Source organism: Homo sapiens, chromosome 6, assembly GCF_000001405.40.
Source record: "Homo sapiens chromosome 6, GRCh38.p14 Primary Assembly".
NCBI classification, from domain to species: domain Eukaryota; kingdom Metazoa; phylum Chordata; class Mammalia; order Primates; family Hominidae; genus Homo; species Homo sapiens.
Genome location: NC_000006.12, coordinates 151,560,742 through 151,577,708, shown reverse-complemented (window position 1 = coordinate 151,577,708; position 16,967 = coordinate 151,560,742). Strand labels below are relative to the sequence as shown.

The following is a 16,967-nucleotide window of genomic DNA, read 5'->3' as shown; positions in this document are numbered from 1 at the left end:
TTTCCTACTAGGCCAGGCACTGGTGCGGGTGCGCAGCCAGAGGGTTGGAGACCCTTGCTTTATAGCATCGGGGGGGGTCCCCACAGCTCCCACAGAGCCCCTGGACCAGCAAACACCTCAAGGAAGGAAATAAAGCCTTAGGTGTACCTAAAGCAGAACAGGAAAAATGTCCAGATAGAGGTGAAGAAGAAAACAAAATTGCCTCAAAATTCTAAAGTAAAATCTGAAAATGTCGTAACTTTCTGTCATTGTGCAAGAAGTCATTATTTCATAAACAACTGCTATGGTGTCCTGAAATTCCAAGGCTAAGTAACATCTAAATACTCATTTAGAATTCGTGGGAACCTGGCAGTAGAACATTCCTCTAAGACAGTGGTTTTCAACTGGGGGCAATTTTGACCCCCGGCGGACATTAGGCAGTCTCTAAAGACATCTGTGGTTGTCACAAACTGGGAAGGGGAGTGCTACTAGCGGGTAGAGGCCAAGGACGCCGCTCAAAATCCTGCAATGCACAGGACTGGCCCCCAGAGCAAAAAATTATCCAGTCCAAAATGTCAATAGTTCTGAGGATGGAAAACCTTGCTCTAAGATATAGTAAAGCTTCTAAAAAGAAGATTAGATCTTGCCAGAAGCAGATATGCAAGGAACAAGTAGAAATGACGTGCTGTAAAAGTGTGGGTGGTGTCCTGAATTCTACTGAGAATTGCAAACACAGGAGGGGAAAAATGGATAGCACAGGGGTAAACAAGACAAGCAACGTTCGGGAAGCAGGAGCCGGCCTGAAGCGGAGAATCTGCCAAGCTGAGCCTGAACCCGCCGTGGAGCCTTCACATCAGAATTACTCAGCCACTGACTGTGTGCGTAGCCATGGCAGCTGGCAGGGACATGCAGCCTCCTCAACAAACAGATTCATCAATTTGTAAAGCTCCCATTCTTTAGAAACATTTCTAAGACAATATATGAAATCCATTTTCTCCTGATTTTACGTGAAGATGAGTCACACAAGACACCAGCTATATGCTTGATTTCAGGCTTTTAAATAGGGAGGGCAGCTATTGAAAAAAATTACAGGGTAGGAATGGCAGACAAAGGCACTAAAAAGACTCTGAATCATTCTAATTTTTATGGGGAGTGGGAGAAAGCATACCCAGCTTAACCAATTTACATCATTTGGCTTTAGAAAATAAACATATACATCATGCTGATAATTATGCGCCTTGTTTGGGATTAAAGTAGTTTTAAGAAACTACTTGAAAATATAGAAGTGGAAAGCAATAAAATGAAATGGCAAAAAAAAAAAAAATTAGCTATTGAAGTACAGATGCTCCTCGACGAATGGTGAGGTTGTGTCCCAACAAAGACGTGTTAGTTGAAAGTTCCTTAAGTCAGAAATGCATTTAATATACCTAACCTACCGAATATCATGGCTTCGCCTACCCTACCTTAAAAGTGCTCAGAACACTTACATTGGCCTATATTTGGGCAAAATCATCTAACACAAAGCCTATTTTATAATAAAGTATTGAAAGTCTCATGTAATTTGTTGAATACTGAAAGTGAAGAACAGGATGGCTGCATGCACACTCAAAGTGTGGTTTCCACTGAATGTGTATCACTTTCACACCATCGTCAAGTTGAAAATTTTTTAAATTAAATTTTCATGAGCTGGAAATCGTCTGCATATCTGTTACCATTTAAGGAAATGACTTAATGAAGCTTATTTCCAAACCTATAAATCATTTTCTTTCTCAAGTACCTCCATGTAAACTGAGTCACAAGAAAAACTAAGTTACTCGCAGAGACCTCTACACATTAGAGTGGAGGACAGCCAATGAGCACTCCACATTTTATCTCCACAAAGAGATAGAAAATGCACTTGGCAGCCGGGCACGGTGGCTCACGCCTATAATCCCAGCACTTTGGGAGGCCGAGGCGGGTGGATCACAAGGTCAAGAGATCGAGACCATCCTGGCCAACATGGTGAAACCCCGTCTCTACTAAAAATACAAAAATTAGCTGGGTGTGGTGGTGCATGCCTGTAGTCCCAGCTACTCGGTAGGCTGAGGCAGGAGTATTGCTTGAACCTGGGAGGCGGAGATTGCAGTGAGCCGAGTTTGCACCACTGCACTCTGGCCTGGGTGACAGAGCGAGACTCCATCTCAAAAAAAAAAAAAAAAAAAAAAGAAAGAAAAGAAAAGAAAATGTGCTTGGCTAAAGGGGCCACTAAGGTTGCTCCTAGAGTATGCGTGAATTTCAGAGAATTTTTTTTTTTTTTTTGGACAGAGTCTCGCTCTGTTGCCCAGGCTGGAGTGCAGTGGCACGATCTCGGCTCACTGCAAGCTTGAATTTTGGAGAATTTTTAAAGGGAATTTACTATCACTAAAGGAAATTGACAAATGCAACCCTGAACTTTGAGTTAGTGATTCTTCTGAGTTTTTTAGTAACATTAAAAGATGGTAAAATGCGTTTTCTCCTTTCAAGCAAGCACGACAGCAATAGAAGAAATATTTCATAATGGAATTATACAAGGACTTTGGAGATCATTTACTTTAAAGTCTCATTAACTAGGACTTCTATAATTTAGGTTTGATGATAATTTAAACAAAGCCTGCACTGAAGTGGACTCTGCTAGGTAAAGCTTTATAGAGAAAGAGAGTTCTTGATAGTAGAAACAAGATGACAGAGTTAAACAAGCCTCAATCATATACGTGAATTAAACCATTTTTCTCCATTTGTTAGATAGGACCCCTGAAAGACTGTTCAGGCCACCAACACATTATGAAAAAAAGGAGAGAAGGAGGAAGAAGGAGAGGCAACAGCAGCAATAGTTAATATTTATTGTTGTGACTTGCCAGGCAATGAGTTAAGATCTTTATAACAATTTTTTTCATTCAATACATACATGAAACAATAACCTGATCGGCCAGATACCATTACAGGTCTGGGAACTTTTATCTGTAATTCCAAAATCCAGGTTTTTTCATAACTCATTTACTGACAAAGCTTGGCCTGACCTGACCCAGCTGGGCAGCAAATCCTGACCCAAAATGACAAGAGGCTATTTGCGGTCTTCATTTATCCCACTTACTGTTGCTCGCGGGCTTAGCTACAGACCTGTGAATGTGATTGACGGTAGGAAACTGTCCCAGACACCACAGTGGAGGGCTGTGTAAGGCTGCACTCTGCATTACCTTTCTAAGCTCTGAAAAATTCTGAACTCAAAAACACCGTGGGCCCCAAGAGTTTCAGGTAAGGGGTCATGGAACCTGTGCTAACCCCTTTCTGTAGATAAGAAAACAAAATCTCCGAGGCCGTAAACTCAAGAACCTACCCAAGCTCACATGGACAGTGAGTGAATGTACAGCAGAGACGGGATTCAGCACCAGGCAGGTCCAACTCCAGAACCTGCATCACAGTTAGATGTGGCTTGTGGGACTGCCATGCCTTTCCATTAAAATGGAAATTAATACAACCACATTTAAATTATACTTTTTTTAGAGACAGGATTTGCTCTGTAGCCCAGGCTGGAGAGCAGAGACGCAATCATAGCTCACTGCAGCTTCAAACTCGTGGGCTCAAGAAATTCTTCCACTTCAGCCTGCCAGGTAGCTGGGACTTAATTTTTATTTTCAGTAGAGAGAGGGGTCTCACTATATTGCTCAGACTGGTCTTGAATTCCTGGCCTCAAGTGACTACATTGGCCTCCAAATGGACTGGGGTTACAGGCCTAGGCCACCAGGCCTGGCCTTAAGTGATGCTTTTAGCTAATTGAGATAAGTCACTGATATGGTTTGGCTGTGTCTCCACCCAAATCTCATCTTGAATTGTAGCTCCCATCATCCCCACGTGTCGTGGGAGGGACCTGGTGGGAGGTAATTGAATTATGGGGGTAGCTTTTTCCCATGCTGTTCTTGTGATAGAGAATAACTCTCAGGAGATCTGATGGTTTTATAAAGGGCAGTTCCCCTGCACACTCTCTCTCTTGCCTGCCACCACGTAAGATGTGCCTTTGCTCCTCCTTTGCTTTCTGCCATGATTGTGAGGCCTCCCCAGCCATGTGGAACTGTGAATCCATTAAACCTCTTTGTCTTTATAAATTACCCAGTCTCGGGTATTTCTTATAGCAGCGTGAGAATAGACTAATACAGTCACTGAGCATGCTAAATGAATGAGCTCACTGTTCTTAAGATGTCTGTAAACAGCCATGACCCACTCACCCGGTCCCTGCTTTCTTCCCGGCTGTCCATTTCTCGAATCTTCTCCAAAATGGTGTCCTCAGTGGACCCAGTCATGCTCAATCTGCCCCTAAGGAGGGCTGCGATTTTCTCCCTAAATGAGAAGTACTGGCTTTGTGAGGTTGTGACTGCATCCTGACTGGCCTTCAAACTCTTCTCCAACTCAGAAGAGCTTTTCTTCAGGAGGCTCACTTCCTGCTTTGAGGCATCCCAGACCTGCTGGCCAGCAAGCAGCCTTTCTTGGAAGATCTTAACTTCCCTTTCAAGAGCTTCTTTTGCTTCTACAGCACTGAGCAGGTCCTAAAATGATTACAGAAAGTGAAGACAATACCATTAGAAGTCAACAGGGTACACCTGCATTTGCTATGGCAAATTCATTGACTTTGCCTGCTAATGACTACAAGGGGTTGGGTTAATTACTCCTTCCATTTTTAACTCCAAGTTCCCTATAGTCTCCTCATAAAGTTATTAAATCCCAATGGTATGTCAGGAAAATTTAGGTGTCTTAAAAACAGAAAATGGGGCCAGGCGTGGTGGCTCACACCTGTAATCCCAGCATTTTGGAGGCTGAGGTGGGTGGATCACTAAGGTCAGGAGTTCAAGACCAGCCTGGCCAACATGGTGAAACCCCACCTCTACTAAACAAAAATACAAAACTTAGCGGGGCATAGTGGCGCACACCTGTAATCCCAGCTACTCGGGAGCCTGAGGCAGGAGAATTGCTTGAACCTGGGAGGTGGAGGTTGCAGTGAACTGAGATCACTCCACTGTACTCCAGCCTGGGCAACAGAACAAGACTCCATCAAAAAAAAAAAAAAAAAAAACACAGAGAAGGGATATAAAATATAAAATCTGGGTTAGAAAAAAGAAGGAAACTTTGACACATAAGCCTTTTCTGTGTGGAATACTGGAAAGAGTTAATAAAAACAAATCATTGGATAACATATTAGTAGATTCAGTCCATATGTAGAATATGTTTATAGAACTATCTTTCTCAAGCTTGGTGTATACGGAAATTTATTTTTAATAAACAGTAAGCTCTCAGAGTCCTAGCTAGGCACTAACAATTATTTGAATAAAGATGCCCCCTCAATGCTATTTTGAATAATAGAGGAATATTCTCATAAAAACATCATTGCATAAAACTATTCATTGACTTCCAATATCCAATATTCATTGCATATCCCCTTGTCTCATAAAGACAACGCAGAAAGAACCTGAAGAAAGGAAACAGAAACAACTAGCCATTTGGTAGGTGGGAGGATTAAAAGTAGAGGGAAAGTATCATACTTAGAAGAATAATCTTAAAGAATATAATATGGGCTGGGCACAGTGGCTCACTCCTGTAATCCCAGCTCTTTGGGAGATCGAGACAAAAGATTGCTTGAGCCCAGGAGTTGGAGACCAGCCTGGGCAACTTGGTAAACCCCCATCTTATATAAAATAAAATAATTTGCCATGCATGGTAGCATGTGCTATGGTCCCAGCTACTTGGGAGGCTGAGATAGGAGGATTGCTTGAGCCTAGGAATTCAAAGCTACAGTGAGCAGTAATTGCATCAGTGCACTCCAGACTTGGTGACACAGCATGACCTTGTCTCAAAATAACAACATAAGAACATAACATGTGAAATTAGGTTCAGAAAAATAATGAAGGACATAAAGAAGGTTACCTGTGTACTTAATTCTATTTACCATAATCTAGAATGGCCCACAGAGGCACCAAAGGAGGATTTTTTTTTCTCCCGGGACGGAGTTTCACTCTTATTGCCCAGGCTGGAGTACAATGGCACAATCTCAGCTCACCATGACCTCCGCCTACTGGGTTCAAGTGATTCTCCTGCCTCAGCCTCCCGAGTAGATGGGATTACAGGCAAGTGCCACCACGCCCAGCTAATTTTGTATTTTTAGTAGAGACAGGGTTTCTCCATGTTGGTCAGGCTGGTCTTGAACTCCCAACTTCAGGTGATCTACCCGCTTCGGCCTCCCAAAGTGCTGGGATTACAGGCATGAGCATCTTTAAAATTGATTTTTAAAATTATTTTTTAACATCAAGTTCCAAAATACATGAATTCACATTAAGAAATATTAAGCGGCGTGTTAACTAGCATGGCTGTAGTATTGCTACCTAGTTAACTGGTAAAAAAAAAAAATTATTAAAAATAGTATGTTAGAGGTAAAAAGCACTAAAAAGAAACACAATATTTTTAAATAACAGACTCTACATCTAAATGAGCTGATAACATTTCAGGCTGCCAGTTAAAATGCAGTCACCTCTTTTGCATTAGAACTGGGCTTTAAAAGAAATTTCTCTCCATTAACAGCTTGGAAACAGGAAAAAGGATAGCCTGAAACACTAGTTCCTATTTTTTATAGGAAACATAACATCTTATTTTTTCCATTATGGTGACTTTTTTAAAATCAAGGAAGTCTCAGGCATCAATTTGAAAGAAAAGTCACAGAGTAGATATGTAGTTAGAGAAGCCTGCCCTTTTCAGAGATGTAATAACTCAACTAATTATGGAATCTATTTTGTAAAATGCCTTTTGCTTTTCAAGGTCTTGGTTTCCCCTTTCCTTTGCTAAACTAGTCATGTCTGTAGAGAAGCCCCACTGTTGCTGCTAATTAAATGACGGTCCTTAAAAGTAGAGTCAAGGACACTTTATCACAAATTCAATATTTTAACAGTTTACAGATTTCTCTTCAGATCATAATACAATATCTTCTCACTTGCTCAATTAGAGTAACTAGTATCAGTAAAGGTGATAATAAATTGGGGCATATTTTACTTGGAAACTACGGTCGTTCCTTGGTATCCTTGGGGAATTGGTTCTAGGACCCCGGAAGATATGAAAACCTGAGGATGCTCAAGTCTCCCATATAAAATGGAATAATATTCTCATATAAGCTACACATATTCTTCTGTATACTTTAAATCATCTCTAGATTACTTATAATACCAAATACACTGTAAATGCTAGATAAATAACTGTTATCATGTGTTGTTTTTATTTGTATTATTTTTATTGTTGTTTTGTTATTTGTATTGGCTTTTTTCCATATTTTTTTATCTATAGTTGGTTGAATCCACAGATGTGGAACTTGTGGATGCAGAGGGTCGACTGCACAGTCTGATGTGTGGTTAGAAAATTGAGGTCCTAAATTCAATGATGCTGGGATGGAAATTAATCCTAATCACTTTAGAATTCTAAAACCATATGGAATATTATATATTCACTAAAGACCCTCAAAATACACAAAATATATCTCAGATGCTTGTGACTTATGGAGTTACTGTCAATTTGGAGTAGACAACTCAACTGGCAGCCAACACCACAAGACCAATAAACACAATTAAAATATTTCAACTATGAGGAATTTTTCTACCCCAATATCATACTAATGTTTCACTGACTTCAAGAAAAGGGCCAAAACAATCCTCTCTAACAAATCCAAAGAACGTTTTCTTTTTAAACCTAGGCATCAACATTTATGTCTAGTGAAAATCACAAAATCAGTTTGTGTTCATAGAATACAATGGTGTCTGTGAGCAAGTTGGGTTTCTCTTTTTCAGGCACATTCAGCTCAGTGAACCCTAAGCTGTTTCTTGTATAAAATGCAGGACTCGAGAGCCAGAGTGACAAGGCCTTGGGGATGGTCGCTCCCTTAGTGCTCTGATTAAGTGCTGCAGGATTCAGGGGCACAGGGCTGATCTTCTGGAAATAAATGTCCTCAGACTGCAAATGCAATTACTTGTTCACCTATCAGGAGAAAGCCATCAGAGTGGATTCTGGTTCCATGGCTACCTCAAGGATACGCCGAAGCAAGCGGCATAAAATAATGTGACATCAGTACCACTGGCCAGGACCTGGGGATTGCTGTCAGACCACACTGACATACAGGACAAGAAACATAAAGCTTCCTGTGAGCAAAACCAAGACTGACCTCCACAGAGGAAATCACAGAGGGCAGGCCCTATAGACTGTGATGGGGATCACTTAAAAAATTTTTTTATAATTAATAAGTCTTTAGGTTCAGTCTGACTGAAGCGACAAATGTAAAATGATTCTTTCAAAATTACTTTTAACAAAAACTTTAATAAACAATATGATTATGGCATTCAATTTAGCTTCCCATTTAAATGCACGAGTCTGCATTAAGTAATGAAACCATCCAAAGGTTTGCGTTTTAAAAACACAATTGATTCCTGTTCTGTTGCTATTTTATGGATTTAGATACACATGAGATCAAATTGCCACTCAAAAGTACAATGATTATCATCAGGACAGAGAACCTGTGGCTTGAGCTTAATTCCTTCAATCCTAGATCAATTTTATAAAATAAAAAAATCAGTTGGTTAATTCTACCTACTGCAGTTATGATTAACAAAAAAACTCAGAAATTCCCCCAAACAGGTAGTCTCATACATTGCTGGTGGCAATGTGAACAGGTATAATTTTGGTATAAATTGTTGGCATAAATACATAACAAAACTTAATATGCACTTATCTTTTGGCCCTGAAGTTCCAGTCCTGAGGATATATCTATAAGATAGGTTACTAAATATAGAAAATGAGGAATATGTAGTTATCCAATTATAATATAGCAAAAGACAACATACTACATGAATATTCTTTGATATGTAACTTCTTAAACAAATATGAGACATCCATACTATAGAATATGATGTAGTCTTGAAATGAAATGGGGAAGTTCTTTATATACCAATATGAATGATTCTCCAAGATACAGTTAGTGAAGAAAGTAAGGTGTTTAATAGTGCATCTATACAAATAACAATGGTACATAGTATAGTACCATTTGTACCTTTATGAAAAGAATATCTCTAGAAACATGCACAAGCAACTGCCAATTCTCATCACCTCTAGAGAAGGGAATTGTAGCCAGGGGTTAGGAATGAAAGGAAGATGTGATAGAATAGTGGCAACTATGAAAACACCGGGGAATTTTAGTCCATTTAAAGTGTTGAGTCAACAGTGATATGAGCACAAATATACACATGCACATGCACACACCCATTCCCCCCTTCCCAAACTTGGGCTGCATTCACAAAAGTAAAGTATTTAGAATGAGAGAGGTGATGTCCTGCTCTATTTCCTTCGAATTACACCAAGCCTGAAGTTTGGCATTCAGTTCTGTGATTCAAACTTTAATACAGACAAAACCCTCCTTGGACAGCACTATTCAAACTTACATTCTGGTACCACTCCTGCACCTGCTGTTCACAGTCCCAACAAGATCATTTCAGAAATTGAGGGTAAGATATTAGCAATTTCTATAGCAAGTTGACACTGATGCAACATCCAAATACCATAGACTCCCTTTTTTTTTTTTTTTTTTTTTTTTTTCAGAGTCTCACTCTGTCGCCCAGGCTGGAGTGCAGTGGCATGATTTCAGCTCACTGCAACCTCCGCCTCCCGGGTTCAAGCGATTCTCCTGCCTCAGCCTACCGAGTAGCTGGGGTACAGGTGCGTGCCACCATGCCCAGCTAATTTTTGTATTTTTAGTAGAGATAGGGTTTCACCGTGTTGGTCAGGCTGGTCTTGAACTCCTGACCTTGTGACCCGCCTGCCTGCCTCGGCCTCCCAAAGTGCTGGGATTACAGGTGTGAGCCACCGCGCCCAGCCTATACTCCATTTTTGAATGAAGTATGTACCTATTCACTCTTTGTTAGACTTGTGTGGTAAGTGGCTAGTGGTGAGAGTTGCTATCTGTTGTACACTGAAGGAACAGGCTACAGATGTGATATTTTAAGGCTGGTTTGCCAACTATAATCTAAATAAGTATATAAAATCCAGAACCCATTTCTTTCCTCAAAAGAATTTCATCATATTTAAACATAACTATACCTTTACAAAATAAACTAATAGAACTGTTGACAGATGAAGGATTGAAGATGGATTTTGAAAACACATTTGTTTCAGACGGGTATGGTGGCTCACACCTGTAATTCCAGCACTTTGGGAGGCCAAGGCAGGTGGATTACTTGAGCTCAGGAGTTTGAGACCAACCTGGGCAACATGGTGAAACCCTGTCTCTATCAAATATTTTTAAGAAAAAATAAACAGAAAAAAAAGGAAAGCTGAAATTACAATTGTTTAATTTGAATACAAGGTACCTACAAATATATTGAGCTTGTTGAAATTGCTTTAAAATCTATTCTCAACAAACCTCTGTTAGATTTGTTTTCTACTGTAAGTATCTGAAAAGCAAAACATAAAAACAGTTTCACAGGGGTCAGGCACGGTGACTCACGCCTGTAATCCCAGCACTTTGAGAGGCCGAGGCAGGCTGATCACCTGAGGTCCGGAGTTCAAGATCAGCCTGACCAACATGGAGAAACCCCGTCTCTACTGAAAATACAAATTAGTTGGGTGTGGTGGTGCATGCCTGTAATCCTAGCTACTGGGGAAGCTGAGGCAGGAGAATCACTTGAACCCAGGAGGCAGAAGTTGCAGTGAGCTGAGATCGCACCATTGCACTCCAGCCTGGGCAACAAGAGCGAAACTCAGTCTCAAAAAAAAGAAAAAATTTCCTATACAACAGGCACTGAAAGCAACATTGTCATCAATCCAACCAAGATTAACTAAGTGAACTAGCAAGAAGCAGCTGATTGTCACAAACTTTAAATACTAACATAAGCAGTATTCATTCAAAGTGTGTATGTAGAACTTAAATACAGGGAATTTTAGTCATAATAAAACTTATGACTAAAGAACAACAAAAGGAAGGCTATGAGTATAATAGTGATACTAGTGATTCATTATACTAATCTCCTACACACAAAGAAGAATGTGTACAATTTGGGTAATTCTATTCTTTCTCTCATGTTTATTCTGATTTTCATTATCGAAAATTAATTTTATGTCTGTGGCTTCTAATACTTAAAAATTTGGACTTGTGCTTGGTGTATCTTATTAAATATTTTTTTCTGTTCATTCATTTTATAGAATTTAAATAATTTTTTTCTATTAATTCATTTTATTGTATTTTATAGAAGTATTTGTCAGCAATGGACTGGAAATAAGGAAAAAAGTATTCTTCCCCAAAGATAGTTTGAAAAAAAAATGCACATTCAGAGTTTAGGAAGGAGAATGGCAAAAGTCTTGAAATCATGTTCTAAGAGGAAATGTTAAAAGAACTGGAACATTTATCCTGTAGATGTATTCAAATGATTGGAAGACTCATGTAGAAGGAGGATTAGGTTTCTCCTGCTCAGGCCCATGAGCCAATAGAATGGAATCTTCAGAGAAACACTTTACTTCAAAATGAGGAAGACCTTCCCCAAATCTGAGCTTTCCCAATGACATCATCAACTCTGGAAAATTAGAATTCAGCTTAAGTTTGAAATTCTCAACATTGACAAAATCAGTACTAGTTGACAACAGATTTAGCTGCCCAAGAGGCCAGTGTGTTCCTGGGCTTCACTACAGCCCTGCAGACACTCTGCCCTGAACTGATCAGACTGTGCTTGGACAACCACCGACAGTTCCCATCTGGAAATTGTAAAAGGGACACGGCAAAATGGAATGTGCTCAGCATCACATGCTAAGATTAGACCCATAATAAAAATATTTATATAATCATGTTATTTAACATATGGATTTAACTGATTTTAAATTTTTAGAATGAACCTACAGACAAGCTACTAAAGACTTAGTTACATGTACAGAATAGAATGTAAACTTGGACAAGGTAAATAAAATAATATGGTAAAAACCGGGAAGTATATAGAAAGAAGAGGCTAAAAATTAGGGGACATTAGAAGTTCTCAAGGGGCAGGGCTTCAAGATGATGGACTAGAGGCATCTATCAGCTGCCCCTCCACAAAGAAGAATAAAACAGCGAGTAGATAATCACAGTTTGAATAGATCAGCAAAGACAGAACATTGGAATTCAACAGAGAACCAACAGGAAACACCTAGGGCAAGGAAGGGGAGGAAAGAGAAGCAGCCTGCTTGGTTGGCCAGGACTGGCTGGGAGCACAGAGAAGCTCCCCAATGCAGGGAAAGGGGAGTGACAGACCTGCAGCGTCCATACTCCCATCATGGATTCCTCCAGTCCCAGCCACCAGAGAGCCCCTCACAGGCCCAGAGACCAACATAGGGAGCTGTCTGCAGACCGCACAATGGCATTGCTCCAGAGCTCAGGCTGAATCCCAAACACCACCCTGAGTCCTAGGCAGCTACAGCAAGATGCCATTTTGAGAGCCAGCCTCCACCAGACATCACCCTGCCTTGGGGCCCAACAGCCCCTGCATCTCCACATCCCAGGAGCCCCACTGCCATACCCCACCTGCAGCTGCTGCTTCAGCTGGCTGCTGCTGCCAGGGCCAAAGCCAAGCCACTGCAGCAACCCCACCCCACTAACAGCAGGCCACCATCGCACATATACAAGTGTCCCAAGGACAGGCTCCCCAACGCATAGGTGCCAACTGGGGCCAAAGCACGTGCTCCCCAGCTGCCTGCCTACAGCTGCAGCCACTAAAAGCAACCCCACCTTCTCCAGCAGCAGGGCCCCACTGCAGCTACCGCCTCCCCTATCAAAGCACTCCTCCAGGAGTCCAGGGATCACCCCACCCTTGCACATCACAGCCAGTGCTGATAGGCACCACCAGGGGGTCTGAGGACAGGCTCACCTGGCTTTGCTCTGCCCCTACCCCCACCGCAGTGCATGAAAACACCATCTGGGGACTTGGGGATTACTCTGCCACATCCACCATCATTAGCACCTGAGCACTTCCACCAGGGACCTGAAGATGGACTCACTCACCCTGTTGCTACCACCACAGATGGCACCCACCTGCACACACAACCTGCAGGCGCAGGGCCTGGCCTGCCCAGCCATCACAGCCACTGTCAACACCAGCACAGACAGCTTGAGAGCCAAAGCATTGTCCCACAACTGCTACTATGATAGCCCATGCCACACTGCTGCCCAGGGACTGAAAGACCCACCTGCTGCTGCCACTGCCAGTATAGACCCACCTAGACCTGCTAAGACCAGTGCCAGCAAATGCCACCCTGCGGCCTAAGAACAGGCACTCTTGGCCCACTGCTGTTCCCATCGGGGCCTGAGGACTGGCCCACCTGGTATCCCTGTCCCCAGCAAAACTTCCCACAACTCCACCAACAACCACACCCTAAGCTCTTGAGGAAATAATGGACACCAATGACACTATTTACAGCTGAACAAATTAGGAAACTACACCGCTGCACACACCCACAATCAGAGCCAAAGTGCCCTACCCAACCAACATCACAGATGCATCTCCAGGAAAACATCCTCCCCTATAAAAGCAAATCCAAAATATTGGAAGAAGTGACTGTCACACCAGATGCACAGATACCAACATAAAGACACAAGAAACGTGCAAAAGCAAGGAAATATGATGCCTCCAAAGGAGCACAATAGGACTCTCCAAGATGGCAGACTAGGGACATTGAAAGCCAGTTCTCCTCAGAAAGAAGATCAAAGTTACTAGTGAATGGACAAAATGTGAATGGAAAACTGAAAGAAGTGAGCCAGGACCTGTCAGAGTGCCCACAAAAAGAAGCTGAGCTGCAGAAAAAGAAAGCAACAAGAGGCTGGCAGAGATTGACCCCTGAGAAGCTCAGAGCCCCACAGAAAGGGTAGGTGGGAGAGCTTCTCTGCCCCACTCACCTCTCTGACTATCCCCTGACTGTTAAACTGCTGGTGAGCCCCTCTGCCCTTGTGATCCAGGTCAACACTATTGGGGGCATCTGAGAACTTCTCAGGGACAGAGAACTTGGTGGCCAGCTCACACAGACGTGCCCACACTCCCCTCACACCTGAGCTGAGACTGTGGGCACCATACTGGTAATGCACCCATAGTGGGAAACAGCCCTGCCCAGGGACTCTCCAACCTTGAGTCACTGTACCACTAGATCTCTTGCAAACATACCCCACAACCCATTCTGACTTTGGCAGGTGCAGGGGACTCGTAGGCCCCAAGGAGCAGCTGCATCCCTGGAGATTTAACTCTCAACATGGGACACCTCTAAGGGAGAGGGGAGCACAGCCCACCAAGTCCCTGTTGGGACAAAGGAAACACAGATAAGGTGCCAAGTACTAAAGGAGGCAGTCCCATAGCCAGGGAAGATATGTAGAGAGCGGTCATCTCCACCCCACTTATGCAGTTATGGACACAAGAGTGGTTCTTCCCACTAGGGGCCAGTGAACACATACTTGGACATAGCATTTTTTTGTGCTCTTCACAGCAGCTCTACCATGCTGAAAGTGAGCCCCATGCTGCTCAGGCTTTTACGAAGGGAAGGGACCACCTCCCCTTCCCTACACAGAATGGCACCATCCCGGAAAAGGAAGACAGACAAACCATGGAGGTACCTGCTCTGGTCTGGGGGAAGAGACTCTCCCCTCAGCCCATTTTGGTGGTAGTCATCAGAGGGGCATACTGGTGGCCTGCAGCCACACTGTGGCCAAAAACCAAAGGACCAAGTCTTTATGAAATGAAAGTCATGAGCCCTGCAACAGGGGTTTGATAGGGAAGCAAATCACTTTTCTGCTGGCTCAGGGCGAAAAGCAAGGACACTCCCCAGCCCCTCCCCTAAGGCCTCAGCACACCTACACCTCAACACCATCTCTTCCCACCCACTCCTCCCCCAAAACGCATCAAGGCACCTGCTTTCACTGGACATCAGCCTACCTGCCAGCTCTTACTCTTAAGCACCATTTACTGGACTGCAGTTTCAACTGCACTACCAAATACAAAATCTGCTACCAGAAGAGCTTAGTGCTATTCCACAAAATAAGTGCCCCAGGACTCTGCACCCCCAGCCCTACAGAAGATAGAATATCTAAACAGGAGAAAGAATTTTAGATCCTGACAACCAGTCTTTCTAATTAGTTCTTACAGCCAAAATACAGCTTCAACAAGCATGGTCTGATAAAGCCACCACACAGAAGCTATCCACAACCAAGGAACATATACAGCACTTTGGCCCTCTGAAATCACCCAAAATGAAGCCAAACGATCACACATAATATATATCACAGCCATACCCCTAAGAGAAAAAAAGAATTTAAAAAAGAAGTCCCATTCAAACAATAGCAAATTCAAAAATAAGAAGCAACATTTCCCTGAGAAGGACTCAGTGCAAGAACTCCAGCAGTACAAAAAGCCAGAGTGTTTTGACACCTCCAAAGCATTGCACTAGCTCTCTCACGATGGATCTTAATCGGAACAAAATATCTGAAATGACAGATAAAGAATTCAAAATACGGATTGCAAGGAAACTCAATAACATCTGAGAGAAATTTGAAATCCATTACATAAAAAACCAGAAAAATGATTCAGGATATGAAAGATTAGATGCCCATATTAAGAAAAAAGACAAATAGAATTGCTCAAATTGAAAAAAATCACTAAAGTAATTTCAAAATAATGTTAGAGCTTTAATAATAGATTACACTAAGCAGAAGAAAGAATTTTAGATCTTGACAACCAGTCTTTCTAATTAACCAAGTCAGACAAAAATAAAATTTTAAAAATAATTTTAAAAATGAACAGAGTTTTTGAGAAATATGGCTTTGACCAAATCTTCACAAATCTTCAACTTATTGGCATTCCTGAAAGAGAAGATGAAAAAGTAGTATACAATTTGGAAAACAGATTTGAGGGAAAAATTCAGAAATTTTTCCCTAATCTTGCTAAAGAGGTTGACATCCAGATTCAAGAAATTTAGAGAACTCCTATGAGATAGTATACAAGAAGACCATTCCCAAGGCATATAGTTATCAGACTATCCAAGGTCAATTAGAAAGAAAAAACCTTAAAGGCCCCTAGAAAAAAGGGCCAAATTACCTAGAGAAGAAAACCTATTAAATTAATAGTAGACTTCTCAGTAGAAACTTTACAAGCCAGAAGAGATTGAGGTCCTATTTTTAGCCTCCTAAAAAGAAAAAAATTGCCAGCCAAAAATTTCATACCAAACTAAGCTTCATGAATGGAGAAATATAGTCTTTCCCAGACAAGCAAACAGTAAGAGAATTTATCACCACCAGACCAGACCTACAAGAAATGCTCAAAGGAGTTCTAAACATGGAAATGAAAGAATAATACTTGAGACTATAAAAGCACACATAAGTACAAAGTTCACAGACCCTATGAAGCAATTACACAATTAAGACTACAAAGCATTATAGTCAATAATAATTTAACTGTACATTTTTAAATAACTAAAAGAGTATAATTGGATTGTTTGTAACAAAGGAAAAATGCTTGAGGGGATGGATATACCCATTCTTCATGATATGATTATTACACATTGCATGGCTGTATCAAAATATCTCATGTACCCCATAAATATACACACCCACTATGTACCCACACAATTTTAAAAAAAAATTTACTAGATAAAAATTAAAATAATTTTTACTTTAAAAAAAGACTACAAAGCAACTAGTTAACAACACTATGACAGAAACAAAACCTCACACATCAACAGTAACTTTGACCATAAATGGCCTAAATGCTCCACTTAAAAGAAGTAGAGTGGTAAATTGGATTAAAAAGCAAGACCCTACATTCTCTTTCCTCTAGAGACCCATCTTGCATGTAATAACACACACAGGCTTAAAGTAAAGGGATGGAGAAATATCCATCACACAAATGGAAAACAGAAAAGAGCAAAAGTTGCTATTCTTGTATCAGATAAAACAGAATTTAAAC

General features: G+C 41.4%; 1 protein-coding gene across 4 annotated transcripts in view; it reads right to left on the bottom strand.

The window, feature by feature from the left end:
- CCDC170 (coiled-coil domain containing 170) overlaps positions 1-16,967 on the bottom strand; it is a 127,177-nt gene that overhangs the window by 43,485 nt on the left and 66,725 nt on the right. For all 4 annotated transcript variants that reach the window (NM_025059.4, XM_047419372.1, XM_011536148.3 and 1 more), the window contains exon 6: positions 4,218-4,535. In NM_025059.4, the coding sequence (NP_079335.2) occupies positions 4,218-4,535 (318 nt within the window). The remainder of the gene's footprint in view (positions 1-4,217; positions 4,536-16,967) is intronic.